The 23,015-nt window shown below is 43.0% G+C and overlaps 1 protein-coding gene and 1 pseudogene across 1 annotated transcript in view, besides 1 other annotated feature; both read right to left on the bottom strand.

Moving 5' to 3' along the window:
- Positions 2,566 to 3,066: an enhancer, noted in NCBI's record as "H3K4me1 hESC enhancer chr14:19979352-19979852 (GRCh37/hg19 assembly coordinates)". NCBI's record gives its function as "activates a minimal SCP1, AML or CMV promoter by ChIP-STARR-seq in naive H9 embryonic stem cells {active_cell/tissue: H9 hESC(naive)}" and the evidence as "EXISTENCE:reporter gene assay evidence [ECO:0000049][PMID:30033119]".
- Positions 7,168 to 23,015, bottom strand: part of POTEM (POTE ankyrin domain family member M) — a 36,319-nt gene continuing 20,471 nt past the window's right edge. The window contains exons 9-11 of the mRNA NM_001145442.1: positions 22,499 to 22,665; positions 13,761 to 13,879; positions 7,168 to 12,253 (exon numbers count right to left, since the gene is read on the bottom strand). Coding sequence (NP_001138914.1) covers positions 13,762 to 13,879; positions 22,499 to 22,665 — 285 coding nt within the window. The 3' untranslated portion in view covers positions 7,168 to 12,253; position 13,761. The remainder of the gene's footprint in view (positions 12,254 to 13,760; positions 13,880 to 22,498; positions 22,666 to 23,015) is intronic.
- ACTBP10 (ACTB pseudogene 10) lies at positions 10,333 to 12,060 on the bottom strand (annotated as a pseudogene).

The raw sequence follows: 23,015 nt of genomic DNA, 5'->3' as shown, positions 1-23,015 counted from the left end.
CAAGAAGCCTGCAGTACCGTACGACCCGAGGCATGGACTGGAGCCCCAAAGGCAGTGCACACCCTGCTCCTGAGCCTGCTGCTCGTTTCTATATGGCTCCATTTGTAGCACAGTTGTTGCACTGAAGCTTGGGCATGCTGGCCAAGGCCAAGCTGGCTCAAAAAGCAACCAGTCACCTCTGCAAGGGTGTGCCAGGAGCAAGGGCACGAGCTACCAACTAGCAGCCGGACATGTACATCACTTCTTCTACCCTAAAGGTAGGGCCACAGTGCCATCTGCTTTTCCTAAAGCCTCTGTTCCATCAGCAATTAGGTGGCAGCCAATCAAGCTGTGGGAAGCTGGCCATCCCCACTTCCTTGTGTGGCTGAGGTGCTGGATGCTCTGCCTGCTCTAGGCGCACCCTTGCAGAGGTGGCTGGTTGCTCTTTGAGCCAGCTCGGCCTTGCCTGGCATGCATAGGCCCCAGCGACTGACACGCTGCTCCGAGTGAGCTTGTCCTGCCTTGGCACAAATTCTATGTCTGGCCAGGGCCACAGAAGGCCGAGTCCCCTGGATGGTAATCCTGGCTGCTTTCTGTACTTGAACGTAAAGTCCTCATCAAGACGGCCTGTGGTCTTCCTCTTGGCAACCAAGAAGCCTGCAGTGCCATACGACCCCTGAGGCATGGACTGGAGCCCCAAAGGCAGCGCACACCTGGTTTCTGAGCCTGCTGCTTGTTTCCTCTCTGTGGCTCCATTTGTAGCACAGTTGTTGCACTGAAGCTTGTGCATGCTGGGCAAGGCCAAGCTGGCTCAAAGAGCAACCAGCCACCTCTGCAAGGGTGTGCCAGGAGCAGGTGTACCAGTCACCAACTAACGGCCAGACATGGTACATCACTTCTACCCTAAAGGTGGGCCACAGTGCCATCTGCTTTTCCTAAGGCCACTGCTCCATCAGGAATTAGGTGGCAGCCAAGGCAGGACAAGCACACTCGGAGCAGTGTGTTAGTACCTGGGGCCTGTGCATGCCAGGGAGGCCAAGCTGGCTCAAAGAGCAACCAGACACCTCTGCAAGGTCTGGCCAGGGCTATAGAAGGTCCCCCTGGATGGTAATCCTGGCTGCTTTCTGCACTTGTATATAAAGTCCTCCCCAAGATGGCCTGTGGTCTGCCTCTTGGCAACCAAGAAGCCTGCAGTGCCATGTGACACCTGAGGCATGGACTGGAGCCCCAAAGGCAGGGTACACCCTTCTCCTGAACCTGCTTTTTCTTTCCTCTATATGGCTCCATTTGTGGCAAAGTTGTTGCACTGAAACTTGTGCATGCTGGGCAAGGACAAGCTGGCTCAAAGAGCAACCAGCCACCTCTGCAAAGGTGTAGCAGGAGCCGGTGTACCAGTCACCAATTAGCGTCCGGACATGTACATCACTTCTTCCACCCTAAAGGTAGGGCCACAGTGCCATCTGCTTTTCTTAAGGCCTCTGCTCCATCAGCAATAAGGTGGCAGACACTCAGGCTGTGGGAACCTGGCCATCCCCACTTCCTCGAGCGGGTGAGGTGGTGGATGCTCTGCCTGCACTAGGCGCACCCTTGCAGAGGTGGCTGGTTGCTCTTTGAGCCAGCTTGGCCTTGCCTGGCATGCATAGGCCCCAGCTACTGACACGCTGCTCCGAGTGAGCTTGTCCTGCCTTGGCACAAATTTTAAGTCTCGCCAGGGCCACAGAAGGCTCAGTCCCATGGATGGTAATTTTGGCTGCTTTCTGCACTTGAACGTAAAGTCCTCCTCAAGAAGGCCTGTGGTCCGCCTCTTGGCAACCAAGAAGCCTGCAGTACCATACGACCCGAGGCATGGACTGGAGCCCCAAAGGCAGTGCACACCCTGCTCCTGAGCTTGCTGCTTGTTTCCTCTCTGTGGCTCCATTTGTAGGACAGTTGTTGCACTGAAGCTTGTGCATGCCGGGCAAGGCCAAGCTGGCTCAAAGAGCAACCACCCACCTCTGCAAGGGTATGCCTGGAGCAGGTGCACCAGTCACCATCTAGCGGCCGGACATGGTACATCACTTCTTCTACCCTAAAGGTGGGCTACAGCACCATCTGCTTTTCCTAAGGCCACTGCTCCATCAGCAGTTAGGTGGCAGCCAAGGCAGGACAAGCTCACTCAGAGCAGCGTGTTAGTACCTGGGGCCTGTGCATGCCAGGGAGGCCGAGCTCGCTCAAAGAGCAACCAGCCACCTCTGCAAGGTCTGGCCAGGGCTACAGAAGGCCCCCCTGGATGGTAATCCTGGCTGCGTTCTGCACCTGAACATAAAGTCCTCCTCAAGACGGCCTGTGGTCTGCCTCTAGGCAACCAAGAAGCCCGCAGTGCTACACGACCCCTGAGGCATGGACTAGAGCCCCAAAGGCAATGCACAACCTGCTCCTGAGCCTGCTGCTCGTTTCCTCTCTGTGGCTACATTTGTAGCAGAGTAGTTGCACTGAGCTGTGTGCACGCCAGGCAAAGCCAGGCTGGCTCAAAGAGCAACCAGCCACCTCTGCAAGGCTGGGCCAGGAGAAGGCGGACCAGCCACCAACCTCACTCCCTGCCAGACATGGTACATCCTTTCCTCTACCCTAAATGTAGGGCCAAGAGGCAGACCACAGGCCGTCTTGAGGAGGACTTTATGTTCAAGTGCAGAAAGCAGGCAGGATTGCCACCCAGGGGACTCGGCCTGCTGTGGTCCGCAGTGCCGTACGAACTCTGAGGCATGGACTGGTGCCATGTGCTTTATAGAAATATTAACTTAAGATCCATTAAAGAGTTAAACGTGCCATCTGATTTACCTCAGGCCTCTGCTCCATCAGCCATCAGGTGGCAGCCACTCAGGCTGTTGTAATCTCGCCATCCCTGCTTCCTTGAGTGGGTGAGCTTGGTGGCTGGTCCAACTGGTCCAGGCACACCCTTGCACAGGTGGCTGGTGGCTCTTTGAGCCAGCTTGGCCTTGCCTGCCATGCACAGGCCCCAGGTACTAACACGCTGGTCCAAGTGAGTTTGTCCTGCCTTGGAACAAATTCTAAGTCTGGACAGGGCCACAGAAGGCCGAGTGCCCTGGGTGGCAATCCTGGCTGCTTTCTACACTTGAACATAAAGTCCTCCTCTAGACAGCCTGTGGTCTGCCTCTTGGCAACCAAGAAGCCCACAGTGCCATATGACGCCTGAGGCATGGACTGGAGCCCCAAAGGCAGTGCACACCCTGCTCCTGAGCCTGCTGCTCGTTTTTATATGGCGCCATTTGTAGCACAGTTGTTGCACTGAAGCTTGGGCATGCCGGCCAAGGCCAAGCTGCCTCAAAGAGCAACCAGCCGCCTCTGCAAGGGTGTGCCTTGAGCAGGTGCACCAGTCACCAACTAGCAGCCAGACATGTGCTTCACTTCTTCTACCCTAAAGGTAGGGCCACAGTGCCATCTGCTTTTCCTAAGGCCTCTGCTCCATCAGCAATTAGGTGGCAGCCAATCAAGCTGTGGGAAGCTGGCCATCCCCACTTCCTTCAGTGGGTGAGGTGGTGGATGCTCTGCCTGCTCTAGGCGCACCCTTGAACAGGTGGCTGGTTGCTCTTTGAGCCAGCTTGGCCTTGCCTAGCATGCATAGGCCCCAGCGACTGGCACGCTGCTCCGAGTGAGCTTGTCCTGCCTTGGCACAAATTCTCAGTCTGGCCAGGGCCACAGAAGGCCGAGTCCCCCGGACGGTAATCTTGGCTGCTTTCTGCACTTGAATGTAAAGTCCTCCTCAAGACGGCCTGTGGTCTGCCTCTTGGCAACCAAGAAGCCTGCAGTGCCATATGACCCCTGAGTCATGGACTGGAGCCTGAAAGGCAGCGTACACCCTGCTCCTGATCTTGCTGCTTGTTTCCTCTCTGTGGCTCCATTCATAGCACAGTTGTTGCACTGAGGCTTGTGCAGGCCGAGCAAGGCCAAGCTGGCTCAAAGAGCAACCAGTCAACTCTGCCACGGTGTGCCAGGAACCGGTTCTCCAGCCACCAACCTCACTCGCTCCCGCAAATGGCACATCAGTTCTTCTACCCTAAAGGTAGGACCAAAGGGCCATCTGCTTTTCTGAAATCCTCTGCTCTATCAGCCATCACGTGGCAGCCACTCGGGCTGTGGGAACCAGGCCATGTATTTCCTTGGTTAAGTGAGGTTTGTGGTTGGTCTACCTGCTGCAGGTCCACCCTCGAATAGGTGGCTTGTTGCTTTTTGAGCCAGCTTGCCCTTGCCTGGCATGCACACGCCCGAGCGACTGCCACACAGCTCCGAGTGAGCTTGTCCTGCATTGGCCCAAATTCTAAGTCTGGCCAGGGCCACAGAAGGACAAGTACCCTAGATGGTAATCCTGGCTGCTTTCTGCAGTTGAACATGAAGTCCTTCTCAAAACGGCCTGTGATCTGCCTCTTGGCAACCAAGAAGCTCGCAGTGCCATACCATCCCTGAGGCACGGACTGGAGCCCCAAAGGCAGTGTACACCCTGGTCCTAAGCCTGCTGCTCATTTCCCCTATGTGGCTCCATTTATAGCACAGTTGTTGCACTGAAGCTTGTGCATGCCAGGCAAGGCCAAGCTGCCTCAAAGAGCAACCAGCCACCTCTGTAAGGGTACGCTTGGAGCAGATGGACCAGCCACCAACCTCACCCACTCAAGGAAGCAGGGAATGCGCGTTTGTACCATGCATTTCACTACAAGTATATTTCCCCTGAGGTTGGTGGCCTATGTTTTCTTCTAGGTTTTTTGCTTTTAGGTCTTACATTTAACTCTTTTATCCTTCTTAAGTTAATTTTTGTATATAAAGTGTAAGGAAGTGGCCCAGTTTCGGTTTTCTGCATATGGCTAGCCAGTTTTTCTAACACCATTTATTTATAAAATGGGGAATCCTTTCCCCAGTGCTTACTTTTGTCAGTTTTGTCAAAGATCTTGTGGTTTTACAAGTGTGGTGTCATTTCTGAGGCCTCTGTTCTGTTCCATTGGTCTATATACTTGGTTTTGTACCGGTACCATGCTGTTTACGTTACTGTGGCCTTGTAGAGTAGTTTGAAGTCAGGTACTGTGATGCCTCCAGCTTTGTTCTTTTTGCTTAGGATTGTCTTGGCTATGCGGACTCTTTTTTGATTCCATATGAAATTTAAGGTAGTTTTTCTAATTTTTTGAAAAAAGTCAGTGGTATCTTGATGGGGATAGCACTGAATCTATAAATAACTTTGGGTGGTATGGCATTCAGGCACAGAAATGTCCTTGTGTTAGGCAATACCATTCAGGACACAGGCATGGGCAGAGACCTCATCACTAGAACACCAAAAGCAATGGCAACAAAAGCCAAAATTGACAAATGGGATCTAATTAAGCTAAAGAGTGTCTGCAGAGCAAAACAAACTATCATCAGAGTGAACAGGCAACACACAGAATGGGAGAAAATTTTTGCAATCTATCCATCTGACAAAGGGCTAATATGCAGAATCTACAAAGCACTTAAACAAATTTACAAGAAAATAAACAACCCCATGAAAAAGCGGGCAAATGATATGAACAGACACTTCCCAAAGAAGACATTTATGCAGCCAAAGAACACGTGAAGCAAAGCACATCATCACTGGTCATTAGAGAAATGGAAATCAAAACCACAATGAGATACAATCTCACACCACTTAGAATGGCCATCATTAAAAGATCAGGAAACAACACATGCTGGAGAGGACGTGGAGAAATAAGAATGCTTTTACACTCTTGCTGGGAGTATAAATTATTTCAACCATTGTGGAAGACAGTGTGCTGATTCCTCAAGGATCTACAACTAGAAATACATTTGACCCAGCAATCCCATTACTGGGTATATACTGAAAAAATAATAAATCATTCTAATATAAAGACACATGCACACGTATGTTTACTGCGGCACAGTTCACAACAGCAAAGACTTGGAACCAACCCAAATGCCCATCAGTGACAGACTGGATAATGTGGTATATATACACTACGGAATACTATGAAGCTATAAAAAAGGATGAGTTCATGTCCTTTGCAGGGACATGGATGAAGCTGGAAACCATCATTCTCAGCAAACTAACACAAGAACAGAAACACATGTTCTCACTCATAAGTGGGAGTTGAAAAATGAGAACACATGGACACAGGAAGGGGAATATCACACACCAGGGCCTGTCAGCGTGGGGGGCTAGGAGAGGGATGGCATTAGGAGAAATACCTAATGCAGATCATGGGTTGATGGATGCAGCAAGCCACCATGGCATGTGTATATTATACCTACGTAACAAACCTGTATGTTCTGCACATGTACCCCAGAACTTAAAGTATAATTTTAAAAAAACAAATTTTCTTTTAATTAAGCTTTTATCATAGAACTTGTAAAGAAAATCGTTTTGAGTCTCTTACTACCACATCATAGCTGGGACAAACTGCTGATATTTTAAAAGCAACACAAATATCAAACAGAAAGAACTAGACTTAGGAACCAAACTCAGGTTTCTGTAGTGAACAGGGCAGAATCTTAACATTCGGTCCCCACCATTACTCCTTCAGTTTGGCCTTTGCTAGCAAAAGATGGCCTTGTTATGTAGATGAGACCACTTATATAAAAAAAAAGTTTTAAAAAATTTCCAACTGGATTTTCTGTGTTTTTTTTTTGTTTGTTTTTTGGGTTTTTTTTTTTGTTGTTGTTGTTGTTGTTGTTGTTTTGCCTTTTTTTGTTTTTTTTGGGGGTTTTTTCTTTTGGCTTTTTTGTGTTTTTTGTTTTTGTTTTTCATTTTTTGTGTGTGTTTATTTTTTTATATATTTTTTTTTATTTTTATTTTTTGCAGCCACAGGAGTTTTAGCCATTTCAGATGCCTTGCTCCCCACAATTTGGAAGATTCCTTTGGATTTGACCAAGTCAGGAAGAGATGGGAGAAAAGTGAAACAACAACAATAAAACCCCAAACATAAACAAACAGAAAGAGTTAAGCAAAACAAACAAATGCACAATTCATATGATTACTGAGTGTTCTAATGCTAAGGAGAAATTAAAAGCAGCTGGTGGGTAATCTTACATTTTATTCATTAAGGAAAAATTTTAAGACAAAACTCTAATTCAGCTACTTACCTGGAAATAAGGCTCAGGCTGGTGATCGTTCTCTGCCATCTTAGAAGCTGGAAAAAACTTACACTCACCTTCCCTGTCAGAAGCAAGCTGAAACTCAGGAAAGGAGATGCCTGCTCTCCATCGTCATGGAAGCAGGAAAACTTGCCTTCCTTTTTGGAAATGAGTAAAACTTCAGAAAAGGAGTTGTACAGCAAAATCAACCTTACATCTCAACCAAATTTTGGGAGATCAGGGACTCTCTGCAGGGGAGAAGCTCCACAACCTCAGCAAATTATCCTATTGGTTTGGGCAATTAAAACAGCCCAGGTTGGTATCAAGCAATGAGATTTATCAAAGGTCAGGACCACCTTTGTAATGTCCTTCTCTTTTTTATCTTTATTCGCATAGTCTGTTTTGTCAGAAAGTAGGAGTGCAACACCTGCTTTTTTCTGTTTTCCATTTGCTTGAAATATTTTTCTCCATTCCTTTATTTTGAGCCTATGTATGCCACCGCATGTGAGATGGGTTTCTTGAAGACAGCATACTCCAGTGGGTCTTGGTTCTTTATCCAGCTTGCCCCGTGTCTTTCAATGGGAGCATTTAGCCCATTTTCATTTAAGGTTAGTAATGGTATGTGTGGATTTTATCCTGTCGTCATGCTGTCAGCTGGTTATTTTGCAGACTTAACGTATGTGGTTGGTTTTTAGCATCACTGGACTGCGTAATTCACTGCGTTCTTCACTGCATTTTTGTAGTGGCTGGTGATGGTTTTTTCTTTCCATATTTAGTGCTTCCTTCAGGAGCTCTTGTAAGGTAGATCTGGTGATATTGAATTCCCTCAGCATTTGCTTGTCTGAAAAGGATCTTATTTCTCCTTCACTTATGATGCCTAATTTTGCTGGACATGAAATTATGGGCTGAAATTTCTTTTCTTTAATGGCAGTTGATGTGGGTTGGGGTGTGTGCTGCCCTCCTGTGTGCTGTCAGTGCAAGTAAAGCAAAATCCACCTGTGTAAACACACACAGCAAAGTGATGTAGGAAGTTTCCATATAAAGGGCTGCAGTATGGAGAGGTAATGTGCAGGCTGGTGCGTGGCCGTAGGGGCCACCTTGCTGCAGCTCTCCACTGATATGGTACGGTCCACTAGCACAGAAACTATGGTATGGGCATCTGAGAGTGCCCTGTAAGCAGGTGTGGCCAGGCTGGGGCCCTGGGAGAGGCAAGCAGACTAAGGAGTGCTGAGATCAGACCAGCCCCATCTCATGTGCAAGACTGCCCAGCCTCTAAAGATCAGGTCTCAGAGGAGAACTCTCTCAAAAGTGAATCTCCAGCACAGCACAGCTGCTCTACACAATCGTGGCTAGACTTCTTTTTTAAGCAAGTCCCCTTTTTTAAAAGGGGAACTCTCAGACCTGATGTCTGCTGGGCAATCTTGCACATGAGATGTGGCTGGTCTGACCTCAGCATTCCTAAAGTGCTGGGACAAAGTGTCTCACAAGGGCAAGTGGAGCCTAGAGAGATAGCTGTCCCTGCCCTCTGGGCTCCACATCACCTGACTTGCTGCTCCACCACTTTGCTTGTCTCCTGGGTGCTCCATCCCAGAGACATGTGAGTTAGCAATCACTCAGTGTAATCGGCCCAGGATGGAGGGTCTGTGCTGTGGGCCCAAGCCAGGGTTCCCTGTCTGGTGATGAGTAGTGGAGTGTGTGTGGTACCTATGGGAGATGGATTGGCTTGTTCTTTGGGTCAACTGCAGCTTATTGGAGGTGTTGATATGGCACTTAGGGTCTTTGCTCCCGTGATATATCTTCTGAGGATAGCAAGGGCAGTTCACTGCAAAGGCAGTGGCAGAAAGGATTTCATTTGCTCCTGGAAGCTCTGTCCAAGGAACTGCTGAGTTGCTACTGGCTTGATAGCTCCAGTGGTGGGCTGGCTAGAGACACAGGCCAGGAGGATCTGCCCATCAAGTACAGAGTCTGGCCACTTTTCTGAAGGGCTGCTGTGGAATGCTGGGGGTCCCCTCAAGTCCCTAATTGACTCGTATTTTCCAGGGAAGATGATAGCCTACCCCTTCCTCTGGGAGCTCTGTACCACTGAGGTACGAACCTGTTGCCAATCTGAACACACCAATAAGATGTGGCTGGAGGCAAGTTGAGAAGTCTTACCTAGTCAGGAGGAATAAGAACAGGGACTTGCTTAAAGAAAAAGTCTGGCCACGTTTTTATAGAGCAGCTGTGCTGTGCTGGGGGTTCACTTCAGCCCCTGGCTACCTCAGACACTCTGAAGCCCTAAGGCTGAAATGGCTGGGTCACCCAAACAGCAAAGATGACAATCTGGTCCTCCCCCCGGGAGCTCTGACTCAGGGAGGCCTGAGACCTCTGTCGGCCAGAGAACAGCAGTCAAGGTAGCCAGAGACCCTGGTTGAAAGACTTCACCCACTGACTAGAAATGTGTTCGGGGACTGACTTAAACAAGAGTCTGGCCATGTTTTCGTAGCGTGGCTGTGCTGTGCTGAGGCACCTCTTCTACCCCTTGTCAGCTTGGGCTCTCCAAAGCCTGCAGGCCAGAACGGCTAGTCACCCAAACAGCAAAGGTGGTGGCCTGCCCCTCTCTCCAGGAGCTCTGTCCCAGGAACATTTCAAATTTCCATTGGCCAAGGGATGCTGGTGGGGGTAGCTGGAGGCCCCAGTTGGGAGGTCCTGTCCAGTGAGGTGGAACAGGATCAGGGGCCTGCTTACAGAAGCAGTCTGGCCATGATTTGGTAAAGCAGCTATGCTGTGCTCTGGGATCTCTTCTTTCCCTGGTCAGTTTGTACTCTCCAAAGCCCTCAGGCTGGAATGACTAAGTTGCCCGAACGGGAAAGATGGCGGCCTGCCCCATCTTTTCTCTCAGAGTTTTATCTTGTTTCATGGAACTTAATTTTTAGCCTGTTGATTTTACTGTCTACATTAGACTTGTTGAGAAAGATTCTGTAATCTTTTAGGTTAGACAAATGAGAATTCATTGTCTTCTGTAAATAAACCTGTTCATGTCTTGTTCTCTGGAAAGAAGTCTCTTTCAGCTCTCTGACTTTGGTCACAATCATGTAGAGCAGTAGCCAGTCTACAATGATGTAATTGAATTTCCATTTCCAGTGTTTCGTCGTTGTGTCTTACATTGTCCAGTTCAGAACTGAGCATTTTATTCTCAGTTGTCAACATGCTAAGCTGTCCACTGTACAGAAATACTGTTTTTGTTAATGCTTCCTCATTGAATTTTTTTTAAGGTGTGCACTTTTTTCCAACTCTCCTTAAGTCAGAGTACAGGTAAGCCCTGGCTGCCTCCAGCCACTCTCAGGGAGACCAAAAGCCTTCATACACCCCAAGTTGGGGTACAAAAAAGGGGGGCCGCGAAGGCTGATCATTCTAAATAAAACAAAATTAAAAAGTATTTAGGCAAAGATTCAAAAAATTCTGCATTACGTAATTTGCATGAAAGCAATGCCATCACCTCCCCTGTGTGAATTAGGGAGAGGACTGGGCCATTCTCCTTAGAGAGAAGTGGGGTGGCTTTTAGAAGGGCAAGGGGCTTCCTGAAACAATGCATCTCACAATATTTGGAATGACTATTGAAAAGAAAAACAATGTACGATCAAAGTCCTCAGCCACATTGTAGAACTTTGGGGGAAGCTCACTCCAACCAACTGCTCTCGCCTTCACCATTCCAGTTTTTAAATCCTGAGTCAAGCCAATAAAAAACAAAACAAAAAATGAAATAAGAAAACAATTAAAGCCATACCAATCTCATGTGGCTTTCTGCGAAGTTTGGTTTTGTCAAGAAAGGGTGTAATGCAACTAAGTCAGCGTCCACCTAGAAGCATTTGCGGTGGACAATGGAGGGGCCTGACTCATCATACTCCTGCTTGCTGATCCACATCTGCTGGAAGGTGGACAGCGAGGCCAGGATGGAGCCACCGACCCACACGGAGTACTTGCGCTTGGGAGGAGCAACAATCTTGATCTTCATCGTGCTAGGCGCCAGGGCAGCGATCTCCTTCTGCATCCTGTGGGCAATGCCAGGGTACATGGTGGTGCCACCAGATAGCACTGTGTTGGTGTACAGGTCTTTGTGGATGTCCACATCAGACTTCATGATAGAGTTGAAGGTAGTTTCGTGGATGCCACAGGATTCCATGCCCAGGAAGCAAGGCTGGAAGAGCACCTCGGGGCAGCGGAACCGCTCGTTGCTAATGGTGATGACCTGGCCGTTGGGCAGCTCATAGCTGTTCTCTAGGGAGGAGCTGGAGGCCGCTGTGGCCATCTCCTGCTCGAAGTCCAGGGCAACATAGCACAGCTTCTCTGTGATGTCACGCACGATTTCCTGCTCGGCCATGGTGGTGAAACTATAGCCACGCTCGGTGAGGATCTTCATGAGGTAGTCAGTCAGTTCCCGGCCAGCCAGGTCTAGGCGCAGGGTGGCATGGGGGAGGGCATTCCCCTCATAGATGGGCACAGTGTGGGTGACCCCGTCACCAGAGTCCATCACAATGCCAGTAGTACGGCCAGAGGTGTACAAGGACAGCACGGCTTGGATGGCCACGTACATGGCTGGGGTGTTGAAGGTCTCAAACATGATCTGGGTCATCTTCTCACGGTTGGCCTTGGGGTTCAGGGGTGCCTCGGTCAGCAGGATGGGGTGCTCCTCGGGAGCCACACGCAGCTCATTGTAGAAGGTGTGGTGCCAGATCTTCTCCATGTCGTCCCAGTTGGTGATGATGCCGTGCTCCATGGGGTACTTCAGGGTCAGGATGCCTCTCTTGCTCTGGGCCTCATTGCCCACATAGGACTCCATCTGACGCATGCCCCCCATCATGTTCTGGTGCCTGGGGCACCCCACGATGGAAGGGAAGACAGCCCGGGGGGCATCGTCACCTGCAAAGCCGGCCTTGCACATGCCAGAGCCGTTGTCAATGACGAGCACGGCAGTATCATCATCCATGGTGAGCTCATTCAGTTGTAGACCCTTTAAAAGATTATCATTCTTTTTTTCCACACTTTCAATTTCCTCCAAATATTTCTTTTCTCTTAGCTGGCTCTGATGTTTCATTACGTCTAGTTCCAGTCTTAGCATGACAATTTCTTCCTGCAACGTACTATTTTCATGCAAGAGGTCTTTTTCTTTCTTATAACTAAGAGAAAGCTAAGTAAACAAAGGGAACTTTTAGTTAGCACTCAATAGATTGATATACCATGATTTCTTCTGAAATTAAAAAATAACATCTGTATTTGTATAATGAAAGAATCCCCATAGTGGATATTTAACTGGAAAAAACTGGACAAAACTCCAAACCTAGCAGAGTGTAAATTCCTCCAGTGATTTATTTTTCATAGTCTTTAAATAAAGATTTAAACTTTTAGGAATCTGCTCCTGAATTCCTAAAAGTTTAAATATTTATTTAAAGACTATGAAAAATAAATCACTAGAGGATTTTTAAGAATCTCAGAATTAAAAAAGCCTTTCTCTGAGTTACAAAAAACCCAGAGGCATAAAATATAAGATTAATACATTTGACTATATTTTTAAGATTAGGTTTATACTCTGATATCTAACCTATCAACCACACCATCCTAAGAGCCTTAGCTATGCATATATTTGGACAGAAGCAATTTCTCAAAGTTCTTTAAGTTTCTTTTACTGAAGAACGTTTTACCGATATTCTACATTTCTAATATTTTTATACTCAGTTATAAGAATTATATTTATTCATAACTTAAATCTAAGCACTGTACCCTTCTACACTGTACACATCTGTATCTAAGCATTGCACTCCTACATACAACACTGAACTCATTTAAGATCGTGATTCTTAAAAGGAGAAGTCAAAAAATATATACAAGATGCAGGATTTTCCCCAGGTCTGCTGATGCTACTTCTAGTGATCCTCCACAAAACCACAGTTACTTCTGTGGTGTAAATATATAAATACAAAAGAAGCCTTTTGTTTCAAAATATGAATGGTAAGTAAGATGCAACTTATAGAGATTTTCTTAGAAATCATGAGATTATTTGTCATTGTGATAACTTTTATTTCCTCTTTATAATGTTTGAAACAGTAGTAACTGTGAAATAGGGGAAATATACTCAACTATTTCTCTAGGAACAAAATACTTATCAATAAATTATCACTAAATGTATATCATGGCATGTCATTGTTTTCAAACCTCTTTACATTGAAATGAGAAATTACTTGGAGCAAAGTGTTCCTCTCCACAAAAGTAAGGATGATGACATCCACAATGTGGCCTCTGACCCAACTATACATTTCCTACTTTCCTATCAGTGAAAACCATCAATTGACTTCTCTATTAACATTTTTTAACAAAACTAATGTCCAAAAACTAGAAAATTTGTTTTTAGTAGCAAAACTTAGTTTTGATATGGAAAGATCATCAATTCTTATGAAAAATATCAAATGCTTCTCCTTTGGATTGAGGCCATTGTGAAGGTCACTACTCGACTGTTGCAGGCAAATGGAGTTGAATTAAGAACATGGCTTTCTCCTATATGTACAGATATAGATACATGACAAAGGATATATAGAATATATACACACATATATATGACTTAAAAATCCTTTGTATATCCAAAATACATAGTTTTTAAAAAATATATACACATATAAAAACATTTGAAAATAACTAAATACCTCAGAATTCATTTTCAGCCACTTCTATCTGCTTTTCTTCATGAATCAGAATCTCATCTTGTAATATTCCAGTGTTCTGTTCTTCAGAAAGTTGCTTCTGAGTATCATTTTGTTCATCACTAGAAAAAAAATTAATTTTCATGAAATACTGGAGGTGTCCCCAAAATGATCTACAGGGCAAGATGGCGCCATCAGATGTCATTCACACAATGTATATCTGCACATTATTCCAAGACAAGGCAAAGGGGTCTCACATCTGTTAACCGAGTATCCCCAACCATGCTGGCACCAGGGACTGGTTTTGCGGAAGATAATTTTTCCAGGAACCTGAGGTTTGGGATGGTTCCAGGATGATTCAAGTACATTACATTCATTGTGCACTTTATTTCTATTATTATTAATATATAATGAAATAATTATATAACTCACCAAAATGTAGAATCCGTGGGAGCCCTGAGCTTGCTTTCCTGCGACTAGATGGTCCCATCTGGGGGTGATGGGAGATGGTGACAGATCATAAAGGCATTTGATTCACATAAGGAGTGAACAACCTATATCCCCTGCATGAGCAACTTACAACAGGGTTCAGGTCACACTCTTAGGACGATCTAATGCCACCGCTGATCTGACAGGAGGAGCAGCTCGGGTGGTAATGCGAGCGACAGAGAGTGGCTGCAAACAGATGAAGCTTTGCTTGCTCACCTGCCTCTAACTTCCTGCTGTGTGGCCCAGGTCCTAACAGGCCAGGGACTGGTACTGGTCTATGGCCTATAACTCATACTTTTTGTGTTTATTTTTTGGAAACATTTTCCACTTATATTCTTGATTCCTATGTATTTTATAAACAACTTAGAAATTCCTTTTAGAACAAGACAGGGTCTAATATTATGTTTTTAACATAGGACTTTGAATTAATTTTATCTGTGTATGAGAGAGAGATGTGAAATAAACTCATCGTTAAGCACTTTCCATTTTACTTTTATTTCATGCATATTAAGAATAAAACTGGGAAGTCCTAGGCAAAGCAATTGGGCAAGAGAAATAAAGGGCATCCAAATTGGAAAAGAGGAAGTCAAACTATCTCTTCACCAATGATATTACCTTATACCTAGAAAACCCTGAAGACTCCTACAAAACACTCCTAGATTTGATAAATGAATTCAGTAAAGTCTCAGAGGTTACAAAATGAATGAATACCAATCAGTAGCACCACTACACACCAACTACGACCAAGCTGAGAGTTCATATCAACAATCCAATCCCTTTTACAGTGGCTGCAAAAAAGTGTGAAATACCTAGGAATATGCTCAATGAAAAAGGTGAGTGATCTATATAAAGATAACTGGAAAACACCACCAAAGAAAATAACAGATGACACAAACAAATGAAAATACATCCTATGTTCATGGACTGAAAGAACTGATATAGTGAAAATGACCACAGTGCCCAAAGCAGTCTACATAGTCGATACAATTCCTACCAAAGTACCAATGTCATTCTTCACAGAATTATTTTAAAATGCTGACATTCATGTAGGACCACAAAAGAGCCTGAATAGCAACAGACATACCAAGCAAAAGGAACAAATATGTTGGCATCACGTTACCTGACTTCAAATTATACTCTAAGGCCACAGTAACAGAAACAGCGTGGTACTGGTATAAAAACAGATACATAGATCAACGGAACAGAACAGACAACTCAGAAATAAAGCCGCTACAACCAAGTGATCTCTGAGCAAGCATACAAAAACATACACTGGAGAAAGTACAGGTTATTCAGTAAATAGTGCTGGGAAAAAAAGAGAGCCACATGTGGAGGAATGAAACTGGATCTCTATCTCTCAACATATACAAAAATTAATTCAAGATGGATGAAAGGCCCAAACCTAAGACCTGAAAACATTGGCCTAGGCAAAGAATTTATGATGAAGACCTTAAAGCCAATGCAACAAAAATGAAAATAAATAAGACCTAATTAAACTAAAAACCTTCAGCACAGCAAAAGAAATAATCATCAGAGTAAACCAACAACCTACACAATGGGAAGAAAATTTGAAAATTATGAATCTAACAAAGGACTAGTATCTATAACCTACAAGAAACTCAAACAAATCAACAGGAAAAACACAAATATTTCCATTAGAATGTGGCCAAATTACATGAATAGCCATTTCTCAAAAGAAGATGTACAAACGGTAAACAAGCATATAAAAACATGCGAAATATCTCGAATCATCAGGAAAATGCACAATAAAATGACAGTGAGATATCACCTCGCTGCAGCCAGAATGGCCACTATTAGAAAACAAAAAACAACAGATGTTGTTGTGGATGTGGTGAAAGGAGAACAGTGATACACTGCTGGTGGGAATGCAAATTCATACAAATCTATGGACAACAGTATGGAGAGTTCTCAAAGAACTAAAAATAGATCCTACCATTTTATCCAGCATTCTCATTTCTGGATAGCTACACAAAATAAAAGAAATCGTACTCTCACAAAGACACCCGCACACATATGTTTACTGCAGCACAATTCACAATATGCAAAGATATGGAATCAGCCAGTGTCCATGAACTGATGAATGGAATAAAGAAAATGGAGATATATAAAAATATATATATCTCACATCACATATATATATCACATATACGTATGTGTGTATATACACTCACACATATACGTATGTACATACCCGAGACTGGGTAATTCATACACATACATACCTGAGACTGGATAATTCATAAAGGAAAGAGGATTAATTGATTCACAGTTATGCATGGCTGGGGAGGCCTCAGGAAACTTAACAACCATGGTAGAACGTGAAGGGGAACCAGGAACCTTCTTCATAAGGCGGCAGGAGAGAGAGAATGGAAGGGGAAAGAGCCCCTTATGAAACCGTCAGCTCTTGTGAGAACTCACTCACTATCACAAGAACAGCACGGAGGAAACCGACCCCATGAGCCAATCACCTCCCAGCTGGTCTTTCCTCAACACCTGGGAATTACAATTTGACATGAGATTTGCATAGAAACACAAAGCCAAACTATTGTGGGGGGGTATCCTTATTTTTAAAATATCTAAATGTCATTATTTATAATTCAAAATAATAATTTTTATTAGTGATGATTTTGTTTGAAAATAGAATGATCTGATAAATTTTTTTCACTTTTAACCTATTCAGTCAAAATATATAAAAAGCTAGATTTGCCAGCAGAATATTGTAACTACTTTTTAATGAGATAAAAATGTATAACAACATCACTATTATTGTACAGAGAAAAAAGTGAACATAAAAAGGAATTTAAAAAGACAATATGACAATATGACTATCATATACATACATGAACTGACAGACTAAAATCTCCTACTGGAGATTATGTTAGGACTTGAGCAAAAGCTTCTAAAAATACCCAAAACAAACACAAAACAATTATTTTTAAGAAATAAATTATACAGAGAACTCTTCTGGTTAAGACGATGTATCAAAAAAAAATCTCCGTGAGAGCTATTATTAACCAAGTCATCATAACCAAAACTTTAAATCCACAATTCTGAAATATTAAAAAGTTTCATTTTGAACATAGTTAATGGAAGGCAACTTTTGAACAGAAAATTTCTGTTTAAAGTTGACTCAAACTTAGGAAAGAATTGACCTGTAGCCATGGTAACAAGAAGCCACCCAGAGCCAGTTCAAAATCTAGTCAATCGATCAATGACCACTGGCTTTGCTCACCAACCAATATCAATGTGAGCAGCTTGCTTCTGAAAGACAGCCAAGCAGCAACAGCTGCTTCATCAGAATAGACAGTGCCTGACCAGTATAGTCTTACTATCCGAAGCAAAAGATTCCAACTGTCTTTTTATTTCAAATACCAAAGGTCTATAATCCCTTGGAAACAATTTGTGAGTCCATTACATTTACCACCCTAATATTTTTTTAAATAAAATGCTAGTGGCCGGACATGGTGGCTTACGCCTGTAATCCACCCAGCACTTTGTGAGGATAAGGCGGGTGGATTGCCTGAGGTCAGGAGTTCGAGACCAGCCTGACCAACAGGGTGAAACCCCGTCTCTACTAAAAATACGAAAATTAGCCTGGCATCATGGCACGCGCCTGTAATCCCATCTCCTCAGGTGGCTGAGGCAGGAGAATCACTTGAACCCAGGAGGCGGAGGTTGCAGTGAGCCGAGGTCACGCCACTGCACTGCAGCCTGGGTGACAGAGCAAGACTCTATCTCTAAATAAATAAAATACCAGTAAAGTTTGCAATTCCTCTGACTCATTTTACCATAATTGCAATTATCATGATTACCAGTAAAAGAATAGTGAATAACCACAATATTGGACTTTTCTCCCTAAGTGAAAAAATATTAACATAAAGAATGTAGATTATAAAAAGCCAAAAGAATTTTAAAAATACATATAATTACCAGGCAAAATTGTTAAAATGAACTCTGTCAAACACTTTTTAAGTGAGAATCAATCAAACAATATAGCCAGGATAAACTCCATTCATTCATTTAATACTTATTTATTAGGTAGCTACGTCTGATAGGCTAGGCCTTTTTCTAAGAAGTAAGGATATGGTAATGAACAATAAAAACCCTATTCATGAGAGTGAGATAAACACACAATAACAACAGACAGATAAGGCAAAATACACAGTACATTAGAGGAGAAAAACTAAAGCAGGAAAATGAAATGTTTACCTGTTTGATGGGAAGGGTCGTGGGAAAGTTGGGATGGCCAGAAAAGTCCCTGATGAGAAAGAGGATTTTTCTTTAACACAAAGAAACTTTTATTTGTACATCAAAGACTCTAAAAAATGATGATGTTAACAGAGTTGATGTCAAGACACAAATAGGTTTGAAGTTAGAGATGATAAATCACTGTTTCATTGAACCTTCCCTCAATTACGTTAGAGAGAATCCCTGGTATGCTCCCAATTGAATCTTAAGCCTGATGCGTCCTGGTGATACAATCGTAATTCCTTTCTGTTAGTCCTCGTTATCTCTTTTTCTTTTTCTTCATTTTTCTCTGGACTAGGAATTGTGCTGGTACATGGTTCTTCCTCCGAAAGTGGTTATTCCTTAATGTGTTTCTTTTTACCCTTTTTCTTCTTCTTAGAAAGGGGATTTTAAGTAAAAAACTGAAGTAATGGAAACAGTAAGCTAGAAGAATATCTGGGGAAAAAGCATTCCAGACACGGGGAACTGCTAAGTGCAGAGGTGTGACTGGAGTTTTTAAGCACTAGAGATAGGTAAGGAATAGCAAGAAGTTCAGTGTGGCTGAAACAGAGCAAAAGAGATAAGAAACAGAAGTTTAAGCAGGAGAGATAACATGCCAGATGGTTGACTGCCTTTTAGTTATTAGGAGGAACTCTGACACATACTCAGCATGAAATGGGAGGCAATCAGAAGGGCTGGGGCAGGGGAATGACACAATTTGACTTATGTTTTAAATACATCCACTGAGTTAAGAATTGATGAAAGGGGAAATTTTTAAAAACCAGGACTATCAATTCCCAGTCTATGACACTCATCTAGATGGCAGATGATGGTGGCTCACATGTACAAGATATGACTGGCTTCTGGACATATTCTTCAGGTAGACCTGACGAGATTTACTGAGAGATTAGATGTGAAGTGTCAAGAGAGAGAGAAAGATGAGTCTAGAATGACACCGAGGTTTTTGGCAGAGCAACTGGAAGAGTTGCCATTAACCAAAGTAGGAAAGACTACATGAGGTGTAGATTTCAGGAAGGCCATCAGTAGCCCAATTTTGGATCTGACAAGTGTGTGATACTCAACAGCTAATCAAATAACTATTTATTAGGTAGCTACGTCTGATAGGCTAGGCCTGTCAAGTAGCCAGGCTGATACAGAGATCTGGAATTAAGGAGTGAGATCTGAGTTGGAGACATGCATTTGGAAATCACTAGCATATATACAGTAGAAAAAGTCAGGAAGGGCCAGGCACTGTGGCTCATGCCTGTAATCCCAACACTTCGTGAGGCCAAGGCAGGCAGATCACCTGACATCAGGAGTTTGAGACCAGCCTGGCCAACATGGGGAAACCCTGTCACTACTAAAAATACAAAAATTAGCCAGGTATGGTGTCACACACCTGTAATCCCAGCTACTCAGGAGGCTGAGGCAGGAGAAGCGCTGGAAGCCAGGAGGCAGAGGTTGCAATGAGCCAAGATCGTGCCAATGAACACCAGCCTAGGGGACAAAGCCAGACTTCATCTTAAAAAAAAAAAATGTCATGAGAAAGAAGATTGAGGACTGAGCCATGAGAAACAGCAATGTCCAAAAGGAGAAACATGAGGAGGAGCAAGCAAAACAGACCGTGATGAATGGACTAGAAAGGCAGGAGTAAAAGCCTGAGGGAGTGAGGTCCTGAAAGCCAAGTGAAGACGCCGTTAGGGAGAAGATGCCCTCCATTGGCTCAAATATTGCTGACAGATTAAATAAAATGAGGTGTAAGAAAAAAATGCATAGATTTATTTACAGAAAAAAGTAGTGATAACCTTGAGAAAAACAACTCTGGAGGAGTGCTGAAATTGAAGACTTACTGGCATTGAGATCAAGAGTGAATGGAAAGAAAATTTGAGTTCGTGAGTGTAGACAGTTACTTAAAGGACAACATACTTAACACTCACGACTGAGAATGATGTAATTTTCATCCACAGTCATGGAAAAGTGATAGACAAGAAATAGTTTCCAAATTTTACATAACAGGTGGAGGTTTCAAATGCTATGTAACAATTATATATTTCAAAGGTTATAAAAATTATACACATGTGGCATTAAATGCCAGACCAAGGTTTTAAAGGCCCCTAGAACATTTCTAGATTACATAAGCTGATTATCATTTTGTTCATGCTTATACATAAAGACCAAGAAATACTAAAGGTCTCAACGAGAATATTTCTTGCTTGATAAAAATCAGCCAATTCTAGGACAGTTGACACTCATCAAATATACAAAGTAATTGATCACAGTAAAATACTGAGTTCTATTAACAGGAATAAAGAGAGAGAAATGCAGAAAATAATCTTATTTTATAAATGAAGTTTTTAAAATTATATGAAGTCACTGTGGAAAAATATGGTGAGGTGAATACTCAAATATATCCTTTTCTCAAAGGAAAGATAATGTCACCCATGCAGGACACTTTTACATATAAGAGTCAATGCATTAGCAGCACCTTCCTTTTAGCACAAAGGTCAGCAAATAAGCACCTGTGGGCCAAATCCAGCCCACTGACTGTTTTTGTAAGTCAAGTATCCTGGAACACAGCCATGCTTATTCACTTTACAGTCCATAGTGACAATTAGCTGGGTGTGATGTTGCACACCTGTGGTCCCAGCTAGTAGAGAGGCTGAGGTGGGAGGATCACTAGAGCCCAGAAAGTCGAGGCTGCAGTGATCACACAACCATGATCACACAACTGCACTCCAGCCTGGGAAACAGAGCCAGACCCTGTCTCAAGAAAATAAATATATGTAGTCCACAAAGCCTAAAATATTTACTAATTGGTTCTTTGCAGAAAAAGCTGGCCAACTCTTGGTTTAGTAGATCAAAGATCTTTGATGTATTTTAATAAAAGTTTTACCCAATACACTGAAATGTTTATATTAAATATAGATCCCCATGTACAATCCCTTGGCAATATTCAGACTGAGGGTCCAATATTTCAGCACTCAGGCACTGACAACAAAAATTTAATAATTAGCAATCTTGTTGCTAACAAGGTACAGTGTCAATGTAGCATGTAGCTTCCATTTCCAACACAGCAGATATTACAAGAATTTTAACAAGAACTCCTAAGATGTGTCATTAAACTAAATGCTTTAAATACATTTTAATTGTGAAATAATCAGTATACCCTAGATCTAACCTCATTTTTCAAAAACGGTTGCATAATACATTATTTTGGGGGTATGGACATTGAGCTATTTCCTATTGATAAGGGAGTAGACTAGCTCCAAATTTTTAGTATAATAATGCTATAATAAATGTCCTTATATGTAAGTATGTATGTAACATATCTACACAAATATCCTTTACATGTATTATACATCCTTACTCTGTTATATATCTGTGTGTGTGTGAATATGCTACTAAATTAATGTTCAAAATGTATTTACCAACAGTGTATGAAATGTCTTTTTCAGTGAAACCATTTCCCTTGCAGCAACACAGATGGAGCTGGAGGCCATTATCCTAAGCAAACTAATGCAGGAACAGAAAATCAAATGCCACATATTCTTACTCATTAGTGGGAACTAAACATGAGAACTCATGGACACAAAGAGGAGAATAACAGACACTGGGGCCTACTTGAGGGTGGAGAGTGGCAGGAGGGAGACGACCAAAAAACTACCATTCGAGTATTTTGCTTATTATGTGGCTGATGAAATAATCTGTACCCCAAACCTCCATGATACAGTTTACCTATATAATAAACCTGCACATGTACCCTGAAGCTAAAATAAAAGGTCACTGAAAAGAAAAGAAAATGCCTTTTCCCTCACATTTGCCAATACTGGCTATTTTTCAAATAAATTAATGACTGGAAAAAATGGTAACTCATTGTTTACTGATTTTCATTTTTCTGATTAACAGGCAAGGCTGAATATCCTAGTAAAAGTATAAAATTTGTTCATCATGAATTAGATTCACAGCATAGAGTTATCTCCTGTTCAATGTTGCCACAGACTTACCTGTGATACTGTTCATTCTCAGTGTCAGGAAATTGCTGGCTTTCAGGTGTTCTGCTTTTCCTTGGTGGAATTAATCCATCATCACCATTGTCAGCAGTGGCACCGTTAGGCAGGTTTTCTGGGAATCCCATATGAGTACTTCCGTGCTTCTTCATTTCTTCTTCAACCTTGAATGAAAGTTTGATATTAAGGATAGTTATCCCTTTACTGAATAGAAAGAATATTTTTAATTGATTTTATCACTTGACCAGTTTATCATTATTTTAGTCATTAAAAACATTTCACTCTTAAATTGGATCATATACACAGAACTATTACCATATAATTTTAAGATGTACTTATCATATCACTAATATATCACAGAAATTTTTGTAAAGTTTGCTTCATTTCTGTTTCAATGAGTAAAACAGAATTTTCCAAAATTCAAAAAGGGCCCTCCTTTATTTTGTGCTTTTATTCTCAATCACTCTTCAGAATCTTATATATGTATTTACCCCCATTTGACTGGTGGGAACAC

Source organism: Homo sapiens, chromosome 14 (genome assembly GCF_000001405.40).
Source record: "Homo sapiens chromosome 14, GRCh38.p14 Primary Assembly".
Classification (NCBI taxonomy): Eukaryota; Metazoa; Chordata; class Mammalia; order Primates; family Hominidae; genus Homo; species Homo sapiens.
This window is presented reverse-complemented; position numbering and strand designations above follow the sequence as displayed.